General features: G+C 37.7%; 1 protein-coding gene across 2 annotated transcripts in view; it reads left to right on the forward strand.

Annotated features, from left to right (window-relative positions):
* LOC107985043 (uncharacterized) overlaps positions 1-15904 on the forward strand; it is a 57359-nt gene continuing 41455 nt past the window's right edge. For both annotated transcript variants that reach the window (XM_047437626.1, XM_047437627.1), the window contains exon 1: positions 1-113. In XM_047437626.1, the coding sequence (XP_047293582.1) occupies positions 62-113 (52 nt within the window). In that variant the 5' untranslated portion in view covers positions 1-61. The remainder of the gene's footprint in view (positions 114-15904) is intronic.

Consider the following 15904-nt stretch of genomic DNA (forward strand, 5'->3'; position numbering starts at 1 on the left):
ACACTTGAAGAAATTTATTGTTTCGTTGAGCATTATTACAGATCAGCATTGTCAAGAACCAATGGTGTTCCCTGAAGAAAGAATACAACATGGGACACAGGACTCTCAGAAAGGTAATTTTAAGGATTTTAACTGGGCCAGGCACAGTGGCTAATGCCTGTAATCCCAACACTTTGGAACGCCGAGGTGGGTGGATCACCTGAGGACAGCAGTTCTAGACCAGCCTGATGAACATGGAGAAATCCCTTCTCTACTAAGAATTCTAAATTAGCCGGGCATGGTGGCGCATGCCTGTAGTCACAGCTACTCAGGAGTATGAGGCAGGAGAATCGTTTGAACCTGGGAGACGGAGGTTGCAGTGAGCTGAGATCACACCACTGCACTCCAGCCTGGGGAACAAGAGTGAAACTTCATCTAAAAAAAAATATATATATAAAACATATATTTTTTTATCTGGTCTGGAGATTCCCCCCTTTTATTTATCAGCTGTGTTTAATTTGAATTCCATAGCATTAAAAACTGAATCCCATCATTTTTGATCTCCAGTTTATGCCTGCACTAAGTGGGGAGATTCTATAAACACTGCTAAAAGCTTACCTTGTCTCCATTTAATAGAGAAGATCTAACTCAATGTTTGTCTAATATAGTCCCAAACAAGTGTCCTCAATCCATATGTAACCATGGCCAGGTTTTACAAGGAGACAGCAGTCACATCAAAACTACCTACATATGGCATCAGAATCAAAAAATGCAAATACATATACTACTTGAGGCAAAAGGGAATTATATAGATCCTGTGGAGAATTTTAAATCTAAAATTTATCTTTTTCATGGTCATTCAATAGCCGTTTTGTGAGTAGGAGAAAGAACATTCTAAGTTTAGGAAAAAGTATATATATGTCAAGTCCCTGGTAAAGACTGTTTGAGTTTGAGGAACTGGAAAAACCTAGGGTGGCTGGATTGTAAAGAGAAAGGAGGGGAGTAAGAGACTTGGAATCAGACAAAAGCATAATTATGGAATTACAAATTACTTACAGATTTTTAGATTTCTGGCTTGAATAAGTAAACTGTAGTATAATTTTCTAAGGTAGAGATGAGTGGGAGAGAGAGAGAGAGACAGCACAGATTTTAGGAGAGAAAAGGGTTCTGTTTTAGACATGTCAAGTTTGAGATGTCTGTGAACTACCCAGCTGAAAATGTCAAGTAGAGTATGGAGGTCTGGAGATCAGGAAAGAACTCTCAGCTAAAAACATACATTTAGAAGTCATCAGTATAATGATGGCCTTAACATGCAGGGAAAGGAATGAAGTCATCACTGAGAGAGTGCATAGATAGAGAGAACAACAAGAGATGAGGGGCAATTACAAAGGAGGCTGGAAAGAAGCAGGCTTTGGGGTGATCCGAAGGGCAGAAAAATGGTGACAGAAGCCAAAAGAGAGGAAACAAAAAAGGAAGTTGAAAAAATGCTATCCCCATGATGACAAACATGAAGACAAAGAATTGTCCAATGGATTTAGTAACATGTCAATCACTGACTAGAGCAATTATGATGAAACAATAAACCCTACTTCAGTGAGTCAATGAGTAAATTGGATGTAAAGAAAAGAGAATAGTGATACTCTAAAATGCAAACTCCATAAGTGAGAGGGATTGTATGCTTGGTGCTTCTTTTGATTCTCCAGTGTCTAAAATATTTCCTGACACATAAATAAAGGAGGTGCCAAATGAATCATTGTTATTTGTTGAAAAAAAAGTTATAAATGTCAACTAAAGTATTCAGTTCAGTTGTGAGAATTTTCTGGCCAAATTAACCTTCTCATATGTTGGCATTGAGGCAGTTGATAGAAGAGTTCATCTCATGTTGGATTTTGCCAGGAGAATGACAGAGAAAGAGGATGGCAAGTGTATGTAGGATATTTTCAATGAGCAACCATAGCAATGCTCTATGGAAACTGGGCAGACTGAAAGGAGAAAGAAAATGGTAGGGGACAATAGATTACAAGTCTCAATGCTGTTGAAGAATCCTGGAATTGAGGGAAGTTGTATAAGGGATATGGAGAATGAAAGGTTTTATCAGAGAGTAGAGATTTTTTAAAGTCAACCTTTCAAAAGTGGTATATTTTTTCAGTTGTGGTCCTGGGTAGCTGAGGTGAGATCACATGTGATCAGATCAGACAGAGAATAGAGGGTATGAGGCAGTTTCTCTAGATGGATGTTCAAGTCATCCAGAATAATCACAGGATCTGGGAAAGAGAAAATTCTTTGGAGTCAAGGAATAAGGTCTTTGATAAATGAAATGAACAAGGGGTCAATAGATGAAAGTACTGGGCTGAGGAAGATGATAGCATGACTAAATGCCACGTATCTCAATGGAGTAAAGTGTACTTTGTGTGTGTGTGTGTGTGTGTGTGTGTTTGTGTATGTGAGAGAGAGAAAGCAATGACAATGGAGAGTACACAACTCACATATCCCAGAGATATGTGAGTAATAAGGAATAAAATTAGACTAGCCCTGAGGAGGCTACAGAGTAGTGGCCTCCAGAGAAATCCAGGCGTCAGAACAAAGAACAAAGAAAGGATGGTTTCAAGAATAGGTAGAGGATGAGAAGAGTTGAGCAAAGAGCAGGGGTCCCAGAGGGCAGAGTAGAAGGGTTCAGGAAAGAGGGACAAGCCAGGTGGCTGGGGCAGAATGGGATAGGAGTGCGATTCTGCTGACAATGAGGGGCCAGGGAGAACAGACACCTAGCAGGAACTAAGAGAATCAGGATGCATGGTGATATCAGAATCCCCTCTGAAAGGAAGTGTGAGCTGTGGTCCCAATTATTTTCATTCTAACTATGATATGAGTAAAATGCTGTGGGGGCTAGCGGGTTCTTCTGAGAAAGTTACATGCACTGGCATGACATTACAGGACAACAAAGTTTTTAAGTGTTTCTTTGGAGTAATGTTTTGGCAACACTTTCTGAAGTTTCGTTGCACCATTTCTGTAGGTAGAGAATCCAAGGTGGTTCTGTTCTGGATCAGGGCTTCTTCTGAGAACGCAATCAAGGCGCAGGTTAGGGATGTAGTCTTCTGAAGACCAGACTGAAGGAGGACCACTTCTGAGCTTATGCACTGGGTTATTGGCAGGTATCAGTTCCTTGCGGGCTGTTGGCCAGCTGCTTCAGTTCCTCACCATGTGGGCCTCTCCATAGGCCACCTGACGGTCCCAATAAATGGCAGATGATATCTCTCAGAGTGATCCAAGAGACAGAGACCAAGACAAAAGGCATCACCTTTTATAACCTAATCTTGGAAGTGACATGCCATTACTTCTATCATATTCTGTTGGTCATACAGACCAACTCCGGTACAATGTGGGAGGGGACCACACAAGGGCATGTGTACCAGGGTGCAGAAATTATTGGGGACTTTTCTGGAGGCCAGCTACCCTAGTATACCCTCTCTCTGGTCCTCAAGGATTAACATTTTTCCCTTGTGCAAAATATACTCACCAACTCTAAACCCCCCAAAATCTTATCCCATTATAATATCAGGCCAAAGTCTGGAATTTTCTCATCTAAATCAGACATAGGAAATAATGAGGCTTGACAGATTTAGTTCCCCCAAGTATCTTTCCCCTTATCTATAGATTTTAAACTTAAAAAATGGGGGGATTCTGCCCCCCAAACGCCTATTCCATAACAGGAAGACAAGAACAAGATAACTATGGTAGGCATTCCCATTCAAAAAGGGGGAAAATGAGAGACACACAGAAGTCACTAATCCATAGACATTCTGAAATCAGACAAGAACATATTAGAAGTTCCTTCATTAGGACTCAGTATTATCTGCCCAGGAATCATTCTCCATGGCTTTTGGTTCTGCTTTCAGAGCTCTTGGTTTAGCCGGACAATTTCCTGCTATTTCCCAGGTACAATGAAGCTCACAGACTAAAACAGTAGAGAATGAAAAAAAAAAATCCTTCTGATGAGTTTTCCTCTACTTCTCAGCCACCTCCCTTTCTTTATTTCCCTTCCCTTCCCCCCTACTGATATGTTACTATAGGTGCTTACTTTGTTTGGAGAAAAAAGTAAAACTGATGGAAGGAGCTTTGGAGTATTGTTTTAATTTTTTATCTCCTTATTTTCTGTGAAATCTTTTCTTGGATTAAGATTTAGCCTGAGACATTGCCTGACTCCCATGGTATAGAGAATGCCATAAAGACAAGAACATCTTCTAAGAGTCTAACAACCAGTGCTTTCCATCCTAACTTAGAATAACCCAAGAGCTCCCCCTACACGATGGGAGAATGGGTCCATTTGTCTGCTATAAGATAAAAAAATTCTCATTGGACAGCCTGAGATGAAGCAATCAAATGACAATTCATGAATACACCTCCACTGACTTGCATGGGCATTCTTTAGATAGTGCTTACCCAACACTACAGTTTCACACTTCCAGGACACATCATAATCTATTGTAAAAATAAACAAAAGTAACAAACAAAAACAATGTAACAAAAGAGAAAAGAAGGCAGAGATTATGTTACATCATCCAAAAGTAGTTGCTACTATCAGGGCCTCAGGCAAAATCACAGGGTCAGTCTTCATCAGATATATCAGAGAACTTTGATCTTCAAATAACTGTGATCCTTTCTCCTAAGTCTGGGCTCTTCTCCTCTGCTCATGAAAATAAGTTTTTCTTTCCTAGCCCTGAGTGTCCAAGCTTTCCCTCCCCTATGTCATTGCTTCAACCCATCCACTGATCTTTCTTAATTTGTCCCATATTTGTCACCTTCAATAGATTTCTTGGGCATATTTGTTTAATGTTTAATAAACTCATTCATCTAGTGAACACAATTTTGAATCACATCTTTCTCAAGCATTTAAACAACTATTACAAATTTAGTAAATAATTTATCTTGATTTTAACTGCTATCATGGTTGATTCTTTTCAATATTGCAAACATTTGAAATAACAAAGCATATACAAATATGAGTTATAAACTCAATTAATTATTTTAAATGTCAACATCAAAGGTCTAACTCATTTCTTAATTATTTCTTTACTTTTATTATTATACCTTTCTAGAGTAACTACTAATTTTCATTTATTTCCAGCATTGCAGGCCCCAAAATAAAAAGATTATCATCTTTGACCAGTCAAGTTAAGGTACTTTAATTATAGATGAATTCATTGTTGGCCAGGGCTGGATTTAGGTTGCTGTTCCCAAAGCAAATCAAACGCAGGCCACTGGTCACCCAATTTAGTTTGTTTTTATTAGTAAATCATATTTGCTACATATATCAATAAGAGTAGAAAGTTCACACACTTCACATAGGCTTTAGTTTCTTGCAACTTTGATACTCCACCTAAAATGATACATTTATAAGTCTTGTTTGGTGAACATTACATAACCTATCTTTTTCTGTTTTAATGAAATACTTATTTAGACTTGTCATTACGAAATAGTGACTTGATCTGTTAGAATAATCAAAAATGTATGTTTACCTTATAATATTCCTTGAAATTAGCAGGGCCACATTGAAATTTTATCTCCAAGAAATGAGGGATTGAATCTTTCAGTTCAGATCTTTTCTTGAAAATATTTGGTTAACATATTATCCAGCAACATACTGTTGATCTTCTTTCCCCTCTTTCTCTCTCTATATATGCTTTTTTTCTTTTGAAATCAATTTTTTAAATTGATGAAGAGTAAGATTTACTCTTTTCCATTCTTAGACTTCCAATACCCAAAAATTAGTTCATATTGCCCCTTTGTAGCCAACCTCTTCTCTGACTCCCAGGTCCCAGGAAATTGCTGCTCTGTTTTCTGATCCAGTATGCCACATAAAAGGACTAACACAGTATTTAGCTTTTGAATTCTGGCTTTTTCTCATACAACACAATGCACTAGAGCTCCATCCATGGCATTGCATCTATCAGTAATGTGTTCCTTTATATCACTCAGCAACATCCAATCTATGGAGGAACCATAGCTTGTTTATCCATTCACCAATTGAAAGACATGTGAATAGTCTCCAGTTTTGGTGATTTTGAATAAAACCACTATAATTGTTTTCATATGTTTTGTGTAAATTTAAATGTTCATTTTTCTTGGGTAAATACCTGACATTGGTCTTGATGTATCGCATGTCAGTTGTATGTTTAACTTTAGAAGAAACTGCTAAGCTATTTTCCAAACTGGCTATACTATCTGCATTCTCTCCAGCAATTTATGAGAGCTCCTGTTGCCTCAGAACTTTAGATAAGTAATAGTACACCTTTCTCATGTAATTTGCTTTTCCTAATGACTAATTACATTTAATATCTCTTCATGTGAACCTTTTTTTGATTTTAAGCTCCATTAAGACAAGGCTTCCATGTTAATGCTAAACACTGAATCTTCAGCACTTAGTGGTTTTCAATAAATACTTGTTGAATGCAGGAATGGCAGAAACATTACATTCAAGAAGAAGTTATGGAACCAGTCTTTAGTTCAGGTCTTTCTAGTGGAGGCTTCACAAAAATTGCAGAAATAAAATAATAGGAAATGAAAAGAATGCCTAAACTACAAAGGTTCCTTGCTTCAGGATAGATAGAGTAAGGGGGAAAAAGCAGAACCTCGAAACCAGGACATGGTCACTGCAACCACACAGAAGATTGGGATGGAGATGAGCAATCATACTCAGCAGTGTTAAGCTGCCAAAACAAGGAGGTGCACAGTGGCAACCAATCTTGCTTCAGCATACATAAATATAAATATAAACTCCTCAAGTCCAGTCCAATGCAAGTCTTCCTCCTCCTCCTCCTCTTTCATTTCCTCCTTCTTGTCTTTTTCACTATCATCCTAAACACTTATTGAACAATGATGATATATGCCAGCACTGCCCTATCAGTACTTTGCATAGAGTAAGTCACAGAGTCTTCACAACTCTAAAAGGTATGTACTATTATTTTCATTGTGCAAATAAATAATTAAAGCTTACACCATGCTGAATGTCATAGCTGACATTCACAACTGATTTCAAAACTGAATCTCAAAGTCTGCTCTGTCAAACTCTGAAGGCCATGCTACTCTACCTTATACAGCCATCTGCTCAGTGAGATCTCTTTGCTAGTCTCCATGATCATCTTTCATTCTACAGTAATTCACTTCTGGTTTTCCCATTTCCTTGCAAACAAGGATCCAAGGCCAGCCTACTGCACAGATCAATTAGGTAATGTGATTTCAAGGAGACTGGGAAGACCCAGATGTCCTAAATTCTCCCTGACCCAATGGTTGATAAATACTTCATTCTTTTCACTCAAGATTTGGATCTATGTTTAACTGCAAGGTTGCCAGAAAAAGGTAATATCGTAGGTGCTTATAAAGTTATTATAGGTGAAAAAGCCTGAGAGGAGGTTTTGATTATAGTAAGGGCAAAAGAAACATGAGAGCAATGAGTACTTGAGAGAAAAAAGATATAGGAGAAAAGATGCCAAATAGGAAGACTAGTGTCACCAACAACACAGAATCTGATATGCATTTAGTAAATAGATGAATACATAAAAGATAACCTTGAGGCACCTCTCGAATTTAGCCCACTGGGAACTCTAGTTCTTCTTGTGCTCACACTCTTTCTGGCAAAGTGACAGGCTAAGGAGCCTCCTTGCCGTCAGTACTTCCCTGCACCTTAATCAATTAGGGAACACTGACGAATGGTGATTCTCATCCAGTATGAAAGCTATAAAAGTAATTACCAGGTGATCCACTATTTGTATCATCTTTGATTCCACTGAGTTAAATATAGTGCTGTTCAAAGAGATCATCAAATGATTTTGAGTAGTTTGAGATACAGTGAAGTCCAACACATTTTTCCTCCAGCACTTTCCTGTTAGTTTTTGTGATCAAATATGCCAAAGTAAAACAAATTAGTGGAATTTGTTAAAACAGAGGGTTGAAAATACAGAATAACTAGCTGGATCAAGTCCTTCACCCATACCATTCCCAAGGGTTTAAGGATCAATCCAGCTCGCAGGAGGGGCAGACATGCAGTCTATACTGATGTGGAGACTGTGGTGATAGTGGGTCATGGCTGTGGGACCAGAAACCAAAACTGGAAAGCTTGGGCGTGAACTGGAGCCAAACTAGGCACACCCACATCTTTTACACCTTCTAACTCCTTCTACACTAGAATTCAGAAGTCACTCATCCAGGCCCTTTTCACAATATTATCCTTTCTGTATAATATTGACAGGGACAAATAGAATAACTAGGGAATAGTAATGCAATCAACCAAGAGCAGGAACTAGAGGGTGAAGTTTGAAGAAGAAAATGAGTTTTGCACATGTTTAATATGAATTTTTGGTTGAGTAGTCACATGAAGATGTCTAGTAGAGAAATTAGTGCAGAGATTTTTTAAAAAACTGATTGGGCCTGGACCTTTAGGAGTTATCAGCATATAAATTGTAATTAAAACCACTCTAGACCAGTTCTCTCTTACCTAGGAACTCATTACCCTTGCCGAATTCACCAAACAGTAGACCTGGTTATACTCCAGTCCTTGCATTGGATCCCTGATCTGTTTATGGTACGTCAGCTCCTCTATTGGTCCCTTATTACCTTATTTATTCTAAGACTGGGCACCTTGTTTTGCTCTTTCTGGTCCCTTCCTAACTTCTGCTAACTCTGCCCTATGTGGGATGACGACTAGTCTTTATACTTGTTTCTTGTATATTTGATCATCAATACAGTGTGGGCATTGTTTGACCCTTGCAGCTACAAAGAATTTTATTGATTATCATGCCTCATGTAAGCATCATATTGGCTATCTGGGCATCCTTGCTAGAGCTTCTTTTGAAGCCATCTCTAGGGCCTATAGCTGTCTGATCTCTGATTCTATGTTCACCAAGCTGCCACACCAGAAATATATTGGTTATCACATAAAGACCTAACTGATAATATCTCACCCAGCTATGATCATCATATAGCAAAGTACTAAGGTATTTTGTTTACACAGGCTCAGCTTCCCCCTGCTTATCCAGGCTGTTTTTTTTTTCTGCCTCTCTTTGTGACACTCAGCGCTTACTCCAATTCCCCTTCTCATTTCTTTTTATCTGACTCTGTCTCCTGCTTCTCCTATAACAGTAAAGTTGCTTCTCCTCCTTGTAGCATCTGATAAGCCCCCTTAGCTCTGTGATAGCCATCTACAACTTTAGGTTGGGATTACCAGGAAAAAAAACCTCATAGATGGAGACCTTCACGCTGGAGGTTTATTGGGAGCACTCTGTGGAACAACACTTGTAAGGAAGTAAACTAAGTAAGGCTGGCTGGGCTACCGCAGAGGAAGAAATTGAACTGCGAAGCTCTTATAACATTATAACAGGGACCTCAGCCAATCATACATGAGCTCTGAAGTTGGAATGGCACTTCTGAGTTATCCAAACTGGGGTAAAGGGCAAGGCCTGTGAGACGCATATCAACCAGTCATTGGATATAGGCTACTTCCAGGAAGAGGAAAACACCCTGGGCAAAGGAGGTCCTTTCAGCTAACAGCCATTTCAGGAAGAAGAACTCACCCATGAGTAAGGGCAGCTGGGGGAATGAGTGCTCACTATTGGAAAGAAATTTGGTGCAACACTACCTTTACCACATCTGCACTAATATAATGAATACAGCCTAAGTTATCCTTTGTTTCAAATAAATACAGATTCACTTCATATAAAAGATTTCCCTGACTCTCCTTCCTCCTCAAGTACTGCCCTACTCAAATATGTATGTGTATACATGGCAGCCATAATGATCACTGTATGCAGGAATAGGACCTACCAAGTGTAGTCCATGGATATAGAAATCAATAAGCTATTTAACTGTTATGGTTGTTTCATTCTAAGCCTTTCTAGTCTACTGGGAAAACCCAGCTGCTATTAACAGACTATAACAGATACATCAAATCTATTACAGATAATTTTAGTACAAAGTTAATATACTTTAATCTAAAAAAGAAACCTTCAAGGACCCCAAAAGTCCTTCTAGTAAACATGTTGATCCTTATGCATTAAAATTTTTAACTTTTTCAATATAAAAATGTTTATGTTCTCTATCCCACTTTTTGAGGAAGAAATAATCTTCCTCAAATTGACATTCTGGTTACCAAAAGATAAAAAGTACCAGGAAAAAAAAAAAGTACTAGGATTACTGTCAGGAAACCTAGGTTTGAGACCAAGCTAAACACAGTTATTAACTGTGTGATCTGACGCAAGTTAAAACCCATTTTGAACCTAAATTTTTATCATATGTAAAATGGTAATAATAATGAAATCTACTTCATAAAACTCACCAGAAAATTGAGCATCATTAATAATAACCAAAAGTAATATTGATTATAGCTTTCTAGTTATTCTGTGAATTGCATTACAAATATTTTCTGATTTTAAGCCTTATAAGGGCCTAAATAAGTATGTATTGTTATTATCTCTACTTTGAAGAAAAAGCAAAATGAAACTTGTGAAGATTAAGTAGCTTCCCCAAGGCCACAGAGCTAATGATCATCACTTCTGTGAAACTCCAAAGACCATGATTTAATTCTGTTTTGCATTCCTTTTGGAAAATATACCTGAAAGTGTTGTAAAGCCATGAAGCTCCATTTTAAATGTTACTTCATTTTGTCATTTGTTGTTGAACTTTTTATTGCTGGGCCTGTCTCTGAAGTGAGAAGGTTGTTTGTGCAGATTGCATCTGGTCAATCAAACTATTTGTATAACTCATCCCTGGAGCTGTGCCCTGGTAAGTGGGAGGAGATGGAGACAGAATTCTCTGGTACCTGAAAAGAATATGTACATTACATATTCTTTTACATTCTTATACATATGTATATTACATTTGCTGGCACTACATGACGGCAAAGTCATTCCCAAAGTCCAATAAACCAACTGCAAACAGAAGTTTTAGCATCTTAGTAATTCTTCCAAGATTGAGGGCATATCATGTGTTTTAAATACTTCTCAGTGATATATTTGTAGATTAGTGAACGTCCAATGATATTAAATTCTTAGTCCTTTTTGTAAATTCAGACAGGCTCCACTCTCTAAAGATACGTTGTTATTCCAGTGATGTAACAGGGTAAGATCAGCCTAGTTCCTTTCTTAATTACTCTATTTCACTGTGCCAAAAGAAAAAAAAAAACTGTTTCAAAATATATCAGAACTTGATCCAAAATATAAGCTATTCACCTGTAAAAATAGGGTTGAAAGGATTTTGGAGAAATGTAATTGCATTTTTTTAAGACACAAAAAAACTTTAATTGCTGACTTTATTTTTCCAAGGTCTCTGAGAACTCAAAAGAGGGGCTAAACAGATTCTGGACTTTATAAAAGAAATTAACTTCCCAGATTAATATATTGTTTGCCAAGTTTCAGTTTAGAGTGAATTTTTACAACCAAGTTATAAAACTCCTGAAAATACCATGGGGACTTAGAATGGAAAAGCTCAGAGAACTCCAATATATCTGATGATAACCTAAGAGCCAAAAGCACATGGTAAGATTGCTATCCCAAATGGTGAATAAGGGACAGAGTCAGTTCATATGGTAAAATAAATGATATATTTTATGGTGTTCATATATTTTGAAAGGCATGCCATAGGGTATTCTGTAAAACTTTATTTGGATCTGTGGGAGACTGAATGACTCATTGCTAGTAATGGGATACAGAGCTTTCTGCTTCAGGGCCACCAATACAAATCTTCCCTGGGAAGAAAGTGATATAAAATTGTTACAATGGATCAACTTTTGTTTAATCCCCTTCGCCATTTACCCCTGCACACCACACTCTCCATGCCTTCCACAGGCCTTCAGTCTTGGGGATAAAAGATGCATTGATAATTGAAGATAGAGATATTTTCAATAAAGTAAAAATTAATGCTTCTCATTTATTTCCTCACTAAATCAGTTAATAAATAATTTGGAAACTTTAATAAAGACCTTAGGAAACCAACGTCATATATCACAACCAATTAGCAAATATTCAATGGACCTCCTTAGCGCTTAAAAAAAACAGCATAAAATACAAGGACAGTGTTCATCTAATGAAACCTTATACAAAGAGTGAGGTGGAATGTTTTTCCATTTGTTTGTGTCCTCTCTGATTTCCTTGGGGAGTGGTTTGTAGTTCTCCTTGAAGAGGTCCTTCACTTCCCTTGTTAGCTGTATTCCTAGGTATTTTATTCTTTTTGTAGCAATTGTGAATGGGAGTTCATTCATGATTTGGCTCTCTGCTTGCTTGTTGTTGGTGTATAGAAATACTAGTGATTTTTGCACATGGATTTTCTAGCCTGAGACTTAGCTGAAGTTGCTTATCAGCTTAAGAAACTTTTGGCTGAGACAATGGGGTTTTCTAGATATAGGATTGTGTCATCTGCAAACAAAGAAAATTTGACTTCCTCTCTCCCTATTTGAATACGCTTTATTTCTTTCTGTTGCCTGATTGCTCTGGCCAGAACTTCCAATACTATGTTGAATAAGAGTGACAAGAGAGGGCATCCTTGTCTTGTGCCCGTTTTCAAGGGGAATGTTTCCAGGATTTGCCCATTCCGTATGATATTGGCTGTGAGTTTTTCATATGTGGCTCTTATTATTTTGAGGTATGTTCCTTCAATACCTAGTTTATTGAGAGTTTTTAACATGAAGGGATGTTGAATTTTATCTAAGGCCTTTTCTGCATCTATTGAAATAATCATGCAGTTTTTGTCTTAGTTCTGTTTATGTGATGAATTATATTTATTGATTTGTGTATGTTGAACCAAACTTGCATCCCAGGGATGAAGCTAACTTGATCGTGGCAGATAAACTTTTTGACATGTTGCTGAATTTGGTTTGCTAGTATGTTATTGAGGATTTTTGCATCAATGTTCGTCAGGGATATTGGCCTGAAGGTTTTTTTGTTGTTGTTGTATCTCTGCCAGGTTTTGGTATCAGTATGATACTGGCCTCTTAAAATGAGTTAGGAAGGAGTCCCTCTTTTTCAGTTTTTGGAATAGTTTCAGTAGAAATAGTACCAACTCTTCCACAACCTACAGAATAAGAGAAAAATTTTGCAATCTATCCATCCGACAAAGTTCTAATATCCAGAGTCTGCATGGAACTTGAACAAATTTACAAGAAAAAACAAACAACCCCATTAAAAAGTAGGCAAAGGACATGAACAGACACTTTTCAAAAGAAGCCATTCATGCAGCCAATAAACATATTTTAAAAAGCTCAACATCACTGATCATTAGAGAAATGCAAATCAAAACCACATGAGATACCATCTCAGGCCAATCAGTACGGTGATTTTTAAAAAGTCCAGAAACAACAGATGCTGGCAAGACTGCAGAGATAAAGGAACGCTTTTACACTGTTGGTGGGAGTGTGAATTAGTTCAACCATTGTGGAAGACAGCGTAGCCATTCCTCAAAGACCTAGAAGCAGAAATATCATTTGAGTCAGCAATCCCATTGCTGGGTATATACCCAGAGGAATCTAAACCATCTTATTATAAAGATACATGCATACATATGCTCATTGCAGCACTATTCGCAATAGCAAAGACAGGGAATCAACCCAAATGCCCATTAATGATAGACAAAGAAAATGTGATATGAATACACCATGAAATACTATGCAGCCATTAAAAAGGAACAAGATCATGCCCTTTGCAGGGACATGGATGGAGCTGGAAGCCATTTTCCTCAGCAAAATAACACAAGAATAGACAACCAAACACTGCATGTCCTCACTTATAACTGGGAGCTGAACTATGAGAACACATGGACACAGGGAGGGGACTACGCACACTGGGCCTGTCAGGGGTGAGGGGGAGCATCAGGAAGAACAGCGAATGGATGCTGGGCTTAACACCCGGGTGATGGGTTGATCTGTGCAGCAACCATCATAGCAGCACACGTTTACCTATGTAACAAACCTGCACATCCTGCACATGTACCCTAGAACTTAAGTTGAAGAAAAGAAAAAGAATGACGTAATAACCAAACTGAGTTTGTAAAAGCGGTAGGAACAAAGAAAATACATTCATTGGGCAGATTCTATGGATTGAGTATTTCTACTTACATAACATTGAATTCTCACCACGACCCTCTGAGATATAGGTATTTTGCTTACGTGTTGGCAGATAGAGAAACTGGAGCTTAAAGAGGCTGAGCTGCTCAGACCTCACAGATAGTAAGAGATAGGGCTGAGAATCAAACACAGATCTGTATTATTCTAAATCTTGTCTCTGTTTTCACCGTCAGTCCTTGAGGGCATGCTGAAGACATAAAATAATTGCAATATGCTCCCAGCTAACTAAAATAATTATGCCGCCAATGAATGTCCATGCTAGTTTTTCAAACACAGGTATTCTACACTTACAGGTCATCTCTCTACCAAAAATTTGAAGTGCTTTAGGAACCTGATTCTGGATGTTCCGTGGGAGCATACCCCCATAATGATCAAACTGTGCATCCTATTCTAGTAATGGAAATGCTTCAGCAGCAAATCTAGCAAAAGCGAAACCTGAAGAAAACCATTTTTAACACTCCCTCCTCTATATGATCAAATTTTCTTATTGAAAATCATAAACGTATACAGCCAGTAACTAATAAGTAAAGTTAAATGAAACTGAAACATCTGCAAAAAGTGCAATTTAGATAACTACTAATTTTTACCACTGATGCACATTTTATGTTTTTATTTGTTCTTTAGTATTAAAACAACTGATCATTTATAATTAAATCTTACAGATATTATTTTATCTCAATAAAATATTTTATATATGAACTAAAATTTGTACTCGCCAACCAAAAACTTTGTATTTAATGTTTCAAATTTTAAACATAGATTTAAAACTCAAAGTGGTCACATAAGATGATAGAATTGAAATAACTCAGATTCCAATTCTCCATTATCACATTTTCTCACTGTTTATTTCAAATCTACTGATTAAACACAGGAATATGTAGTACCATAGGGATTGGAGACACAAATAATGCCTGAAGAAAATTCAACATTCTAATCTCTAACAAGCTTCATCTCAAAACATATATAGTTAAGACCATATGTGTAATGGAACAAGCTGAATAACTGAGAGTTCTCCAAATTAACTTCCATGTAAAAAACAATGCTCATTAAAGGATAATAAAAATGTGCTAATTTGAAGCTTACATACATGTTATTAAAATTTACAATTATGATTGTTTAGAACTTAGACAAACACAAAGTTTTTGAGGAAGAATTATTCTGTTACCGACTTTGTTTAGAATTGCCAGCACATGGTTATAATGAAAACCACTCTACTTTTAGCAAGCTTTATTATTCTTTCCAAGTTCTCTCCAGGCCCTGCACCCAGGACAGATGGTGCTCACTGCCCCCACATTTAGTGTGCCACTAGCTCAGTTGCTTGTTCAATATTGACCTACCAAAAATATCTAGAATGGAATGACATCTCCTCTAAGGCAGGGGATAATTAACTTGTCCCCACAAAGTATAAATAATCTCTTTCTTCACAAAGTAAACATGTTTTTCTGACACTATCTGACATTTCCATCCAGTGTGCTTTTGAAACTGTATGCTCTTGTTTTTGTTTTTTATTTTTGTTTTTTTTGTTCAGACAGTCTCACTCTGTCACCCAGGCAGGAGTGCAGTGGTGCAATCTCGGCTCACTGCAACCTCCGCCTCCTGGGTTCAAGCGATTCTCATGCCTCAGCCTCCTGAGCAGCTGGGACTACAGACATGTGCCACCAAGCCAAGCTAATTTTTCTTTTTTTTTGTTTGTATTTTTTGGTAGAGATGGGGTTTCACCGTGTTGGCCAGGCTGGTCTCAAACTCCTGACCTTGAGTGATCTGCCTGCCTTGGGCCTCCCAAAGTGCTGGGATTACAGGTGTGAGCCACTGCACCCAGCCGGA

The sequence above is a fragment of the Homo sapiens genome, chromosome 1 (genome assembly GCF_000001405.40).
Source record: "Homo sapiens chromosome 1, GRCh38.p14 Primary Assembly".
Classification (NCBI taxonomy): Eukaryota; Metazoa; Chordata; class Mammalia; order Primates; family Hominidae; genus Homo; species Homo sapiens.